The 16443-nt window shown below is 32.7% G+C and overlaps 1 long non-coding RNA gene across 1 annotated transcript in view; it reads left to right on the forward strand.

Annotated features, from left to right (window-relative positions):
- The window catches only part of DISC1FP1 (DISC1 fusion partner 1), a 663821-nt gene that overhangs the window by 583272 nt on the left and 64106 nt on the right, over window positions 1–16443 (forward strand). The window contains exon 5 of the long non-coding RNA NR_104190.1: window positions 10377–10446. This is a non-coding gene — a long non-coding RNA (DISC1 fusion partner 1). The remainder of the gene's footprint in view (window positions 1–10376; window positions 10447–16443) is intronic.

Raw genomic sequence — 16443 nt, forward strand, 5'->3', positions numbered from 1 at the left:
TGCTTCAAATTACAGAGGGTCTAGAAGTCAAGGTACCCTCTCCAAAGTAAAAAAACAAATTGCTGTATCTTGCATGCCCCACAAAAATGAAGAAGCATAGTGCCTGGCAGGTCTCTTTGAGTCATGGAGGCAATATATTCCTAGAAATATTATTGACACAGAATGTTTTCAGCTTTGAGTGGGACCTGGAGAGTGAAAGGGCACTGTCATAGGCAGAACGACAGTACAGTCAGTCTTCCTTCTTGGGACATGTGATCTGTGAAATTAAATGTTTGTTAGAGGGGCCAAAGATAGAGATGCAGTATGGAGCTTGTAAAAAATTTCTGAAGGGGAGTCACAATACACATCTTGGAAGTTTAAATAAGGCCATGCCTTCTGCAGCAAGGTGCTCCCAGAAACAGGTCTGTGCTCTCAGGGCACAGTAGAGTTAGATCACTTGACGAAGGTGCACAAAGTGACCATGCATTCAGAACTATCCTTTACTAGCTTTGCTTTGTTGTAATTTCCGAGTCATAAAGTCAGGTCATCTAAGCAGTAGTCCGTAGAAAAATGGGCTTGGTACAACTGTGAAAGAGCCCAAGAAGGACCAGTGCATACAACTAAGTTCTGTTAACGGACAGCTTAGACATCCTAGTTGAGCAACTATCTGATTCAATGCTGCAGTTGCTGATTTTACATGCATGATATACATGCTAATGTCGTTGTAAACTCAAACTATTGATAACATAGTGCACTTTAATAGTTTTCATAAATCAGCATTTCTAAAGCATTGCCTTTAATTAAATATGTGTCCTTTCTTCCTTTTGATCATTTTCAGGACTGCATCTATTTGCACTCCCATTCCCTTACATAAAAATTATGAATGAGATAATAAAATATATATAGTAATGAATATAAATTCCCATTGAATTCTGGTAAAATCATTATGGATACTTTTATAAAATTAAGATCAGTTTTAAAACCAAGTTTTTAAGAGGTCAGATAATGTTATGTATATATAGAGAAAGGAAAATAATGATAGAAATAGGTGAATAATATATAATAATTTTATGTAATTGAATTAATAACCAGAGAAAAATTCAAAAACCACAAAGCAGTTATAAATCAAATTTAAATTTATTTAGTTTTCAAAGGTATACATGAATAGGAGATTGACTTGGCTAAGTCCTTATGTCTGGGTTAAATCACTGGACTGTTAGGCTTCTTACACAATATCACTAATGTGACTCAATGAATTAATATAATTTAGAAGCACAGAGAGCAGGACAATGTGTGCCACATGGATGGAAAACACATGAAGACAAAAGCATGTTCTGAGTTTTACCAATTCCATACCTCTCATTCCTCAAGCTCCGAATTTTGTATTTGCTAATAAAAGTAAATATCTGAAGATATAAAGCTGGCTTTCAATTGTGGACTTTTATAACAACTTCTATAAGCCATTATGAACTACCTCAGATTTAAGAGCCTATTTCTTCTAGTCCAGACACTAAATAGTTTTACTTGCTATATTGTTGGGTTTATGTAGACAATGCTGAAAGGAGACATTTCACAGCTCTGCATTAACAAAATGCTTATGCAAATAAAGATTATGACTTAGCAAAAGAGCCAAAGGGAACATAAAAAGGCTCATTGTGAGAATGCAGTCTGCTCCTACAGAGGCTAATTAGCAGAAGACCTCCAGACCTTTTGTGTCTTGGACACCAGAATGAGTATAATTTTTCTGGTGCACATTCATTGGATGAGTTAGGTGCACTTACTAGTTCAATACTACAACAAGTTGTTGCCATCCTGGATTATGTTATTAGTACCCAGCCTGGCCTCATGTTTCTGTCAACAATTGAAGAAAACTGAAATGACTGGGAGAAAAATACGTTGCAGTATCAAAATGACACTGTGTTTTTCATTGGCAGTGTAGTCCTCTATTGTCATGTGGATAATCAATTCACATTCAAAGTTGGTCACTCTCTGCTAACACTCATGGCCACAGATGTTGTCGATGATCATAAATGAAGTCAATGCCTCTTAAAAATCTTGCCACACTCTATTTCTCAGTTACCTAATGTATCAGACCATTTGGACTGCCTTTTTAGTCATTAAGAATTTATAGTTTCCTGGGGTTCCCTGGGTAACCTTTCATTTTAAGAAAACAGAATTGGGAATTACAGTGTCTCAGAAATAGCTACCATTTCAAAAGCTAAAAGCTCATTTAAATTATGGAATGTGAAAATGTGAGTCCTAAAAATACCAACAATTTATATTTATGTGTAGAGTTTTAGTTAACTATAAAAAGATGCAGATTCTTTTTCAGAAGTGTAGGTGCAATTGATCATTGGCCCTTAACTCTGTTTCTTGACACTATAAGTGTAAAACTAATGTCATGATTTTTTTTTAAATAGAAGTCTCAGTGGATTATATCGTTTTACATTAATTCCTGCCTATATGTAAACGTTAAATGGACTTTGCTTAACTTCATATAATATCTTCTATGTTTACACTTTATAATTTCATGGGAAACTTGTTTCTTAGGTTCTGAAAACATAGCTTAACTTATCAAAAATTATTATGAAAGTGAAGACAATGAATTTTGTAAAAATCTTTGTTATATTCGAGGGTGGGAGGAATAATGTCTATAAGAAAACAAAAAAAATTGATGGTTAAAAACTCCAATTAACATACTAATAATTTTATAAATCAATACTTAGCAAACTAACTGACTTTATTGGATTAACTGAATTGTTTAAACACATTGCCTTGTACCTGCATGCTTGATAGAGCCATACATCCCGTTCCTAGAGTGGTTAAAGTCATATTTCAGAAAATAATAAAGCAATGAATATGAATATGGGGGTGAGATTTATCATAAAAAGAGTAGAAGTGATTGTATTTTAAAGGGATGTCCAAAGTCCTTTCACCTTTTTTTTTAATTCTCATAACAGTCCAAGATAAACAAGGCAAGTATTTATAATATTTTCATAACAATTCACATATGCTGTAGATTAACACAGTAACTTAACACTTAGAAGATACAGATTCTTCTACCGACTGTGCCACAAATTAGATGTTTGACACACATAAACAGTTTCCCCTTCTTTGAAACTTTGCTTTACTCCTTTCATCTATAGCAGGGGTCCCCAGACTCCCGGCCCACAGACTGGTACCAGTCCATGCAGCAGGGGGTAAGCAGGGGCTAGGGAGCATCACTGCCTGAGCTCCACCTCCTGTCAGATCAGGGGTTTCCAACAACGTATCTGAGCCACCAGCTAAACTTCATGAGAGAAAGCTTTTACACATACTCTTACTTACCACTCTTTTTTTCAGTTTCTTGGCATGTAATAGACACTAAATTTGTTTAGAAACTTGTTCAATAGTGACTGGCTTGGTGATAGAGACACAATTATATCTCTTGACATCACTTTAGTCAGAATTTTTTGTTTTATTTATGAGATTACCATTAAGATGTATTTGTATTAAGAAATCTAATATTTAAATACAGTTTTGTAGATCTAGGCTGGATGATCTGTATGATCTTCTAATTTTATATAAACGAGGTCTTTTGAAGGTTTTGCATGCCAAAGCTTTAAAAGCTAAAATAGGAATAGTATTGGAACCCAAGCTTCCTGACATGGTAGTCACAACTTTTTAGATAATAAAACTACCCAAAATAATATTTCATTTAAAAAAGTGATTTTTCAGACCCTTTGAACTCTTCAAAGAACCAGAGAAATATACTATGATGTTTAAAAACATGGTTTAAAGATAGTTATAGATTCCTAGACCAACTCTGTAACTTACAACTTGCTTGATTATTTAATATGTAAAATAAAAACAGTAATAACATTTCCTTATGAGATTCTTGTGAAAATATAAATAATATAACAACAGATGTGTGCAAACTAAAAATCAATAAACTGGAAAATATATTAGAATTAATTATTCTTAATACAGCATAGAGAGAATAAAGAGAGAACGAAGAATAAAAAAAGTTAAGAGGTTAAAATAAATATCTTAAGTTTTCTAAAGATACATTTAATTGTAGTTCCAAGAGGATGGGAAAGAAAGAATATGACAGATACAAACTAGAAAAGAGAGATGAATCTTTCCAAATACCTTCTGTTGATTCAAATAACTGTAAGAATATCAAGCAACATAAATAAAAAGCTATGCGCATCTAGAAACATCGTTATGAACTTTAAACTACTAAAAATAATAGCAAAATCAAACAAAAAAAGTCAACAAGAAGGGATAGACGTGAAAGAGAGATTATCTCCAGAGGTTGGATTATTAGATCATCAGTTAATTTCTCAACAGCAAAGATGAAATTCAAATACAGAGCTTTGATAACACCAAAGTGTTTAAAGTTCCCAATCTAGAATTTTACTTTCACCAAAACATACTTTCAAAAATGAAGAAAAATGAAGACATTTCAGAAAAGCAAAACCAGAAATGTTCATAAGAGTACACACTGAATTAAATTTTAAAAGATTGTTCTGTAGTTAACACAAAAGAAGTTTTACATGAAAGAAGAAAGGAGGAGCAAAGTAAGTTGTAAAATTAGTAGGTAAATAAAAGATGATTAGCCACTACGTAAAATAATCTGAATGATTTGAGAAGGGGTTCCAGAGACAGAATTAAAATACATGAGAAGAGAATGCATGTAAGTTAGTTAGCAGGGAAACATGAGCATTAACATACTTAAGATTGTCTTAGCTCTCAGGAGAAAAGTAAAGATGTATGTCAGTTTTAGGCATTCATGTTAACTATGTATGTCACTATTCCTAAGGAAACCAATACATAAATAAATAACCAAACAAACGATATTGTACTTCCATGACTACCTGAGAGAAAAAATTAAAGATGAGGAAAAAATCATCAGTGAAAAATGTTAAGAAAATAGAAAATAAAGAAAACAGATTGAACTGGACACTTCTAAAATGCAAAGGAAAATGGTAGATACAAATTCAGTTATATTACTTATTATATTAAATGGAAATGGAATAAATGCTCAGACAAAATTACAAGGGATTTAGTCTGGAGTTTTTAAAAGTACACCTATTTTATTTGATAATTTAGAACATAAAGAATGAATATAGAAAGAGTAACAGTTAAAAGGTAAAAAATGTGAAGAATAGTTAAGAGAAAATTTATAGAATTAGGAGATACAAAATTAATTTTAAGGCAAATTGCATTATTAGAGATAGAAAATTTATTTCATAATTTAAGAAACATTAAAATGTGGTATAATAATTAAAATGATTGATATACTAGTATAAAAATATATAAAGCCACAACTAAGAAAACATAAGGAAATATAGACAAATTCTTAACATATTTGGATATTTTAAAACACTTAGGAAATACAGAAAAAGCTGGCAGAAATCTATAAAGCAACGGTACATTTAGCACTCTTCAGTGAACAGCGTTTTATAGGATATCAAGCCATAAAAGTTTAAATTATGCATTCTTTTAATGCATGGACAGTAAGTGTTTAAAATGGGCTCCATTCTGGGTTACAAAGCAAGTTTCAACAAATTTGAAATGACTGGAATGATCAGAGTGTATTCTCTGACAACAATACTGTTAAGCTAGAAATCCATAATAAAAGCATAACTAGAAATGTCTGATACTCCTAGAATTTACAAAACATATTTCTAAATAATTCAAGGCTCAACTATGCAATACAAATGGAAATTATAAAATAATTTGAATGCAACAATTGGAATACTATACTACATTTTAACCCTTGTGGAATGCAGCTAAACCAGTATTTTGAGGTTTAGCTGCATTCCATAAGCGTTAAAATGTAGTAATACATTAGCTTGAAATGCCCAAATTAGATAAGAAGGGCTAATCACTAACATTTTAACTATCATGAATTTACATAATGAACAGTAAAATGAATACACTGTCCCAATGTTGTTATGAAGTAAATAGTAAAGAGCAGAAATTAATGAGAAGAAACACACGCATACACACAGAATCACACACACATGCACCCAAACATACAGTAGCTCAACATATCAAAAAGTTAATTCTCTGTAAGAAATAATAAATTTGGCAACTTTTAGATGAAATCCATCAAAAAAATTTAATTATAACCAATAATAGAATTAAATGATTCTATTATGTACCAACAACAGAATTGAGGGATATTCTTTGATGACATGGACATTAAAACAATAATAAAACTCACAATATAAATTCATATTTCAGTAAAATATGGGGAGAAGAATATTCAAAGAAGTTTTATTCTTAAAATACAAACACTGAAAACAACTCAAATGCCTATCAAGGGTAAAATGGATAGATAAATTATGGTATTTCTATAATAAATTATCTACAAGTTAAAATTATGGCTATACACATCATGGGTACTTCTCCCAGACTTAATATTGAACAAATTAAACCAGGCACAAAAAGTACACATCACGTGATTTCATTTATATCAAGCTCAAAATTAGTCAAAGTTGATGATGAAGATAGAAAGCTGAATTGTGGTTACTATTAGGGGTATCAGCCCAATAGTGGCATATTGAAAACCAATGGGGCACTGGATTTGTTTTTCATCTTGTTCTGGGTGGTAATTACGTGAATATGTGCATAAGTTAAAATTCATTGTGTTGTATATTTAAGATTTATGTACATTATAAATATATAACTCAAAGTATTTCAAAGTATTTCAATAAGAAAACATTATGGACAGATCTATGACAATAAATTTTAACAATACAAGACTAAATGTATAAATTTTCAGAAAAATATAACTTACCCAAATTCCCAAACTGACTTTAACCTGAGTTGTCTTGTGACTGCAAAATAATTCTAAAAATAAATGTTTACTACACCCCGCAAACAAATATCACCACTACAACATACATATGCACACACAGAATCACACACACCCAAAACAGACAGACTGAAATGGTATTGGCAAATACTTAGTATCTTCAGTAAAATAATTGATAAGGAACTAAAAGAAGGGAAGAGAGAAATAGAGGAGCTATCAAAATTGAGACAGGGTGATAATAAATAAACTGAAGGACATTGAAAATGACTGTTGTTGAATTAGCCAAGTGGCATAATAAAACTTTGTTGTTATATATATTTCTCTAAAATTTTCAATAATTCATAGTTTATTAATAGATTTTGTAAATTATGCTATAAGTTTGTGTGTGTGAAATTCAAACAAGGAGATATATATTACATCTGGTGTTAACACCCACACTTGCTAACACATGGCACAGGAAGTCAAAGACTTCATAAGAGGGCTTGGTAAGGGCCCTGGTTTTCTGTGAGCTGAAGAAGTATGTGTGTCAAACAGGGCTTCATTTACTGAAGATCTACAGGAGCTAGGAACAACTAGGTGATAGCTCTGTGACTCCATATTGATAGACATTCTGTTTTTCAGCTTTCTAATGTAAATGCTGGTCTTACATAGGTAGCATGTTTGAAGAGGAGGTAAGGGTCCATCATAGACAAGAAAATAGAGTAAAAGGTTAATTTTTTTCATTATCTCTCATTTATGAATTTTAAATTATGTCTCACTAGGCTGTGAGACCCCAGGGACAAGGAGTATGTTGGCCACTTTTGCATACTTCCATTATTAGGAATATGTTATTATAATACAAACATGGTATTTGCATTGCATTTGGTTGAATCCGTAGAAGTTACAATAGCCCAACTGAAATATATTTCTGTTGTTTTCATGACTGAAACATATGCATGAAATTAAACATGATATGGTTGTTTTACATCTATTTTTATATATTTTGAATTCAGAATAGCTAATGCTTAGTTCTGATACCATACTTTTAGAATTTTTGTTGGATAGTTTTCAACCACTGCAGCCTCGTTACAATCCTCAGGATCCTGAGAATCCTGTCAAAATTCTGACTTAGAATGTTCTAAAGGTATGTTTTTAAAATACTGCAGTATTAATTTTGTGGGGCTATATAGTCTTTGAATGATTCTTTTGAAGGGAAGATGTTGTAATAATTCTATAGTTACTCAGTGCAATTGAGTTCTGAAAATTATTGTTGGTTTAGGAAGTTAAGCCACATTGCTGCTATGTTTTGAAGATTTGTTCCCCCTGTCTTGCCCCCACATGCACACATTTATATGTTGAAACCTTATTACAAAGGTGAAAGTATCAGGATGTTGGGCCTTTTGGGAGGTGATTCAGTCATAAGGGTGAAGTCCTCATGGATGGAATCAGTGCCCTCATGTAAGAGGCCCTAGGGAGTTACCTTATCCTTTCCTCCATGTGAGGACACAGTGAGAAGGCTTCCACTATGGAAACAGACCCTCATGGGACACAAAATCTGCCAATTCCTAAGTCTTGGACTTGTCAGCCTCCAGAACTGTGATACATAAATTTCTGTTATTATAAGCCACCCAGTTTATGGTATTTTGTTTAGCAGCCCAAATGGAGTAAGACATGGACTATATTTAAAGCAGTGCATTTTAAATGTAAGTCACATGATCTCTAACTTTAAAGCTCAGACACAGTCTCAGAGCTTTAATCAAACTGGAAGACAGAAGGGAGAGTTGCTGATGAAGGCTTAATTCAGGTCTATTGGCTTTGGGATATTGATTGTTTATAAGTTCTGCTATCATAAACTTGATGCTAACCAGTAATGCTGGACTACATATGTGAGCTTGTAGTCTTACCACCTAGATACTTGCCTTCACATTTTAATTTTTTTCCATTCCAATTGTAATTTCCTATTTTATTTTGCATTGGCTGTGGGTTCCACCTCAGATGTGATTTCTTTGAAATATTTGAGTTGATGTCAGCCTCCCCTTTTCCTCATTCCATCACAGAAGTCCTCAAACATCATCCAGAGACCCACTCAGTCAGCTTATCACAATCTGGAAAACAAACAAACAAAAAAATAAAAAAAATCCACACACAAAAAAGACTAACAAAAAAACCTTTTTTTCTTTTTTTTTTAAGGCTGTGAAAGAAGTAGATATATGTTACCACAAAGTAGCAACTTCCCAATCTAATATATCATGATTCCTCTGGGTATGGTTAATTGAGAAAATAATAATCATGTTTTTCCCATAATTACCTGTTTTTCTTCTCCCTGCCCCACTCCCCACACCAACTTTTCTGGGAGAAAAAGGAAGAAACTTACCTTTTTATGTGGATATTTCCTGGATTGGGACAAGGTAGTTCTGTGCTCAGTGGAATAAGAAGCACTGCCAATACCTCTCTCTTCATTCTCACAATTCTCCGGAGTCAGAAAGGGAGAGTTTCTTGTGCTTCAAATTCTCTTTCCCCCTGACTCAAATTTTCTTTTCCTTGGCTCTGGCTAATTTTCTGGCTAAGCTTTAATAGAAAAATAGATACCTTTAAATAAGCATTAAAAAAAGCTATAATTTGAAGACTAGGATAGATTACTGATATGCACTTTCTCAAATCAACAGCTTGACTACAATGTTATTGCAAATTTGATTTTGAATGTCAAAAACTGACTACTATTTTTCTCTATTTTCATTACTTCTTTAACAAATTTTGATGCATAGTCCAGACAGGGATATTTTAATCAACTAACTACATGACATTTAGGTCATATACTCAAGAAGGACAAAAACGATAGTTATGTATATTATTCATGTATTTGAAAAACTGTCTCTGTTTTACCAAGACTGAAAATACAGCAGTCCATGAAACTTGCTCTATTTTACAGTCCACCAATCTGCTCACAGTAGAGTGCATGCCAAACATGCCTATTTTTGAAACACACTGAATTTGGCCAATGGAAAATATAGCATAAGGGGAGTATCTTGAGAGTCAATTTTTTTACTGCATATTCATGGATAGGAAAGTTAAAAATGTGTTCAGTAAGAAGCTGTATTTTACTGAGCAGTCATACTCAGCATCTACTTACGTAGCCGATGAGTTTATGGTTGAATAAACATCTCAAATATTTACCTGACTTGACAGTGTCATCGATTCAAATTTCCAAGGTTTTCCTCATTTGCCTTGTATTTTTGTCTGCAAAGGTCATTTACTAGTAGATATGTAAGGTGACGTAATAATATATATAACTTAACAAGACTTTTCTTTATAGAGTCAGATATTAGGAAAACGTTTATTGTTTCCCGATTTAGGACTCAGTAACACAGATGTGGAAGCATATTCATATTTGTTCCTAGTAATCAATCTATTCTAAATGATTTGAGACACATTGGACTGTATTTGTATATGTCAAATAAGTCACTCTAATGTCAGGCAAATGTGTAACTATTTAACTATAAAAGTGGATGTGCAAAAAGCATGATTCTATATACTATATTCAGTATGTTATAAAACATAGATGTATATATATTATATTTATCATAATACAGTACTTTCCTCTTACCCACAGTTTCAGTTACCTGAAGTCAAATGTGGTCCAATACACAGACTGGAATAAGAGACATTGGAGACTCCAAAAGGTGGGCAGGTGAGAGGGGGGTGAGGGATGAAGTATTATTAATTTGGTACAATCACGCCACTATACTCCAGTCTGGGTAACAGAATGACCTTGTCTCAAAAAAATAACAATGCACACACAAAAACAAAGTCCAGACTCACCACTACACAATGACTCATGTAACACAACAACACTTGTACCCCTTAGTCCATAAAATTTTGTAACCCTAAGTCCAAAACAAATGTTGAAAAATAAGTATGTTTAAAAAGCAAATGTAGTCCTAAAAGATTAAGTGGAAAATTCCAGAAACAAGCAATTCATAAGTTTTAAATTGCATGTTGTTCTGAGTAGTATGATGAAATCTCACGTTATTCAGCTTTGTCCTGTCTAGAATATGAATCATCCCTTTCTTCAGTGTATTCATACTGTACATGCTATCCACCTGTTAGTAGATGAGAGAGATGACATTTACATAACATTTATCACTGCATAGTTATAATTTTTTATAACAATTGTTTTTATAGTCTTTTATGTAACTAAATATTATCTATTTGTAGTTATTGCTATTAATGTCTTATTGTGACTAATAAACTTTATCAGAGGCATATATGTATAGGAAACAGCATAGCATTTGCTAGGGGTCTTGTAACGTATCCCTTGTGGGTAAGGAAGGGCTATCACTTACATATATATATTATATATATATTCTGCAATTAGAAAGATGAAATGTAATAAAACAAAAGTAGTTAGAATGGAAGAAAAAATCATTGTACCTCAATTTGTATTATTATTGCCTTATGTATCTGAATATTTTAAAATTCATTAATATGTCTCACACATTACAGGAATCTTATGAAATCTATGCAGAGGAAAGAAGGAAAGTAAGGGAGGGCGGGAAAGAACAAATAAACTACTATAAGATTAAAAAGAAGAAAATATAAAGAGAGAGAAAAATAAAAGAGGCAGACACATGGAGCATTTAAAGAAGGCACTCCTTTTGAGAATTAGCCTATAAGGAAATCAAATCTATGCCTTGGGTGTAATTAGCTGCTTGTCTTAAGCAGATCAACAAATGTGCAGTCATGCTGTACAAATTAAACAGAAGGTGATATTATCATCGAATACTCTAGATGCAGAACTTGAGATAAAATTCAACAGTATGTATGTACAATATGCATACAAGATATTTTTCTTAATTAAAAAAAGTTCTCCAATTTTTTGAAAGTTTCCTTAGGAAAATTTGTTTAATGTAATAACTCATGAAAAGAAATTGATAGAATAAAAATCAATATGTCTAAATAAGATATCAAACATCTAAAGAGAATAACCTATCACAAGTATGAGGTGTTGCAATTTAAAAGACATCGTTTATCTAAATTTAGCCAAGTTCATTAAAAAAAATTTAGTTAAGGAATACATTTTAAAACATAATTGAAAATTAAAATATAATTTCTCCCAGAGTTTACTGAAAAAGAAACTATTCTTCACCAATATTAAAAAAATGAGTCTAGAATTGGGACAGCAACTTGGATATCATTTATAATAAGAGAAATTCTCTCCTTTGGTTGTTAAATAATTTAGTCAGTGAGCTGAATAGAATTGCTTATTTTTGCTTGTAATTAGGGCAAAGAGTCCTGGTCAGTGGCCTGAAAAGCAAACTATGATTTAAAGACTGTTAAGTTAACTTTTAACTCTAATAAAATGAAATAATATTCCTGAAACCATAAGAAAATCTTCTGGAGAGACACTGACTTTATATGAGATGGAGATTTATCTATTACACTGCTCTGTCAGTTTGTATCCACAGGCAAATTTACTGGAAACAGTGTTCGTTATCTCCTCTGAGCATAATAGTTCAGGTATGAGCAAAGCTGCTGGCTCTAGGCAGAACAGACAAGTGGTCCAACTTTGCCTGCCGTATTTCTTTCTGTGTTGTTCCCCAGAACTGATAATCATCTGTGTTTGTACAACTCATAGCACTCTTATTCTCTTTCTCTCTCTCTTACTTCTTTCTCTCTCTTTTTTTCGCCTCTCTCCATGATTTGCAAAAAAAAAAAATTGTTTTAAGACTATCACATATTTATCTCATCTGAATTACTCAGGGTTACCTAAAGTTTTAAGGCTGACTTCAGTGCAACATTTCTTTCATCTATTGGAGACCTAGAAATTGATCTTTCTTTCCCTCTTCTTTAACTTGATCACTATTTATTCTATTCCCAAGGGTTTCTGTTCTCTCAAGATTATAGGTTTGAATCTAAAAAATTTACAATTGTAACATATATTTTTCAAAGTTTTTATACTTTTATCCTTTGCATATAATGAGATACCTAACAAATACAGTTCCAGATGGTATAGTAGGCAACTCAGAAATGTATAATCTCATGTAAGTAATTTATACTTTAAGTAATGTCATCTAATTTAACCCACTTATGCCTAATGTTCCATTATTGAAATACTAAGCATGTGGAAGTTATTTATAGCCTACTGCTCAAGGTCATCGCCAAAATCTGATTTTTTCACTCATGCAAAAAATCAAAAAATTGCAACCTCAGGCATAAATGGCTTTTAAAGTGTTGCTGGTCTGTGTAGTTTTATATAAAAGAGTAAGTGAAGTGAGTGAGATGTAATTTAAAAAATGTAGAGTGCATTGGGCTTCCAGTAGTGGCAATTCATCTACTGAAAATAGCTCTGACAGCTAGGAGATTTTATATATCCAGTGAAGGCCCTGGAAAGCTAACAGTAGTGGAAAATTAAAGGACTGTGATGTAAGAGAAAGATATCTATCATTTTTAGTATTTGGGACCACATTGCCCCTAAGGCATTGCAGAAGAATATCTGTGAGGTCAACAAGAAGGAAAGGAATGTTGACTGTCTTTTAGGCCTAACAGAACAAAAGTTAGAGTTGAAGGCCATTTAGGGAGAAGGTGACCAAAAAATTCCCTAGTACTTTGGGCAGGGTCCCCATAGAAATACATTATAGAATTAAAAAAGAGACACAAGTAGAACTACCCTCAAGGACTGAAGCATAACTTTGCATTATTTTATTTCCTAAATTTAGATTCATGTGATCCAAGTGGCTAGTGTCTCTAGCCATCTGCTAGAAGTAAATATAAATTTTTTTCTGAAGAAAGATAAGAGTATACTTAGTCTCTAGTTATTTTTTCCCTAAATTTAAAATATGCAATGCCTATCACTGAAACAAAAATTATCAGGCATATGAGGATAAGGTATGTGACCAAAATCCAAGAAAACACACAAATCACAAATCATCAGGATCGTTAAAGGATTATCAGACAGACACTTTAAAATTAATGTGATTAATATGCTGATAGAAATAAAAGGAAATGTTAATAGCCTTGCCAGAGAATGGGAAACTATAAAGATTACTGAACTGAAAAATGTAATAATAATAAAATTTAAGATCTCAAGAGGTTTAACAGTTGTTAGATGCACGTGAAGAAGGAACTGGAAGATAGGTTATTAGAAAATATGAGGAATGAAGCATTAAGAGATAAAATGGTAAAACAAAACACAGTAAAGATTATAAGATGCCTAGGGTATATAATATTTTAGAATTCTACCATACATGTGATTGGAGTTCTAGAGTATGACCTCAGATGTGAAAGACAAGAAGAAAAAGGGCAAGGAGGAGGAGAGGAAGAGAAAAGAAAAGAAAGGAGGGAAGAAGAGGGGAGAGGAAAAGAGAAGAGAAAAAGAGAATAGAGGAAAGAGAATAGAAGGGAACAAAGCAGAATCAGTATTTGAAGAGATAATGGGTGAGAATGTTTTTAGAAGGATGAAAGATATCAAGCTATAGATTCAAAGTTTTACGAACCTGGAGCATGTAATAGAGTGTTTTGGCACCTGGGAGACAAAAAAAGGGGGGCAGATTACATATTGTGTGAGTTATTTATGGGCTCTACAAGTCATACTATTGTGTTTGAATAAGGATAATTCAGAAAGGAATCTGAACAAAATAATAATACAACTTCAGTAATAAACTCAGTTTATTATCCCATCTAACTCAACAACAGTACATGTATTATACAATTATTTCTTCTAATTTACAAATGAGAAATTAAGATTGAAACGTCTTGTTCTAGGTTACACAGTGAGTAATAGGTGCGACTGAGCTATGTTTACTTGATGTAAGAGCCAAACTCTTAACCATTATAATATCACAATCATGTTGACATCTATATTTCATTTTAGTTCAAAAAATTACAGTTGTCAAGGTCTATCATTTCAGAAATATTATCACTTATTCTCATAAATGCTGTAGTCCATTTCATATTCATTCACATATTTACTAACAACAAGTATTTATTTAGTACCCTCAATGGGCCATACATACACTTCCATAAGCATTAGAGTTACATCAGTGTCAACAACTGAGAAGAGTCTGAGATTTTTCCCTACTATTAAGTTAGCAAGTTTTCCTGCCGCGGTTTCATAGGCGCTGACAGAGAAAGCAAGACTTCTGGGGCAGAGGCAAAAGAAGTTATTACTCATGGCACAACGGACAATATGACCTTCATGTTGGTTCCAGTTTCAATTGCCTTTTAAGTCATACAGAGTGACACAGAATGACTTTGGAGGATGCTGTGCACACAGTAAGTTTGCATCACTGCTGAGGAACCCCAAGTTTAAGAAGATTGCACACCATTATGCAATTTTAAGAAGACTGCATACCATTATGAAAGATTAACCCTAATCTTTCATAATGGTATGCAAGTAAATACACCCAACTTTGGCCATGAAGGGATATATTATATTTATTTATTATACTGGGAAGGAAAGAAACTTGTCCTCTGTTTTGAAGGAAGGGACAATCTATGATTTCTTCCAAGAATGTTTGCTATGCACATATCCTTGAAAAGGGAGTAGAGAAGAAAAGGCTGTAGTGCCTCTACTTATAAGATGTACACAAATCAAAATGACTCATGGAGAACTGTTTCTCAATAGACAGATGGACAAACATTTCTTGTGAAGCTTACATTTTAAGGAAAAACACCCAGTAAATATAACACATTTTTTAAAAAGGTTTTTATTAGATTACAGGTAATCAATGCTAAGGAAAAAAAAAAACAGTGGATAAAGGAGATTGGGAGTATTTGAGAGTGTAGTTTAAATTTGGGTTGGTTAGGGTAGGCCAAGAAAAGAAGTAATATATGCAAATAATTACAAATAATTTCCCTGAATATTACATTTTTCACTCACTTTTATCCTAATTAATTTCATTGGGAGAAAGACGTATGTTTCACTTAAAATGAAACATATTTCTAATTTTGTTTATTGTGGTTTAAGTCTTCACATGAGAATGATAAGAATAGTGTAGAAGAGAAAGCCTCTGTAAACCATCATTTTTGATATTTAGTGATCATTAGAGATGATAGAAAAACAATATATATATGTGTGTATATATATATATATATATGCTGTAGTTCATTTCTTATTCATTCTCTAATTATTAACAACAAATATTTATTTAGTACCCTCATGGGTCATACATACACTCTCATAAGCATTAGAATTACATCAGTGTCAACAACTGGGAAGAGTCTGAGATTTTTCCCTACTATTAAGTTAATGAGTGGTCCTGCCATATAGAATATATATATATACAAACACACATATATATGTACACACATATACACACACACACACACACATATGTGTGTGTGTGTGTGTGTGTGTATCTCTCTCTCTCTCGAGTGGTCCTTCCATATATATGTGCACGTGTGTGTGTGTGTGTGTGTGTGTGTATACACATATATATGTATGTATCTGGAGTTTGATTAGCAGTTACATTCAAGTCTCCAAAATGTTGCTGTGGAAAAGCAATTTTGAATCCCTGAAGTGCTTTGGCTTATTCTATATAATCCCTTTGGTACCCATTTTATTGTAAATAAGAAACCAATTTTTCTCCAGAGAAGCAAACAAACGAGACCTCATCTCAAATTCCCAGAGGTTTAAGTTGACTTTGCAAGTCAATGCCCATGAGATGGAGGTGTTTGCA

This window comes from Homo sapiens, chromosome 11 (genome assembly GCF_000001405.40).
Source record: "Homo sapiens chromosome 11, GRCh38.p14 Primary Assembly".
Classification (NCBI taxonomy): domain Eukaryota; kingdom Metazoa; phylum Chordata; class Mammalia; order Primates; family Hominidae; genus Homo; species Homo sapiens.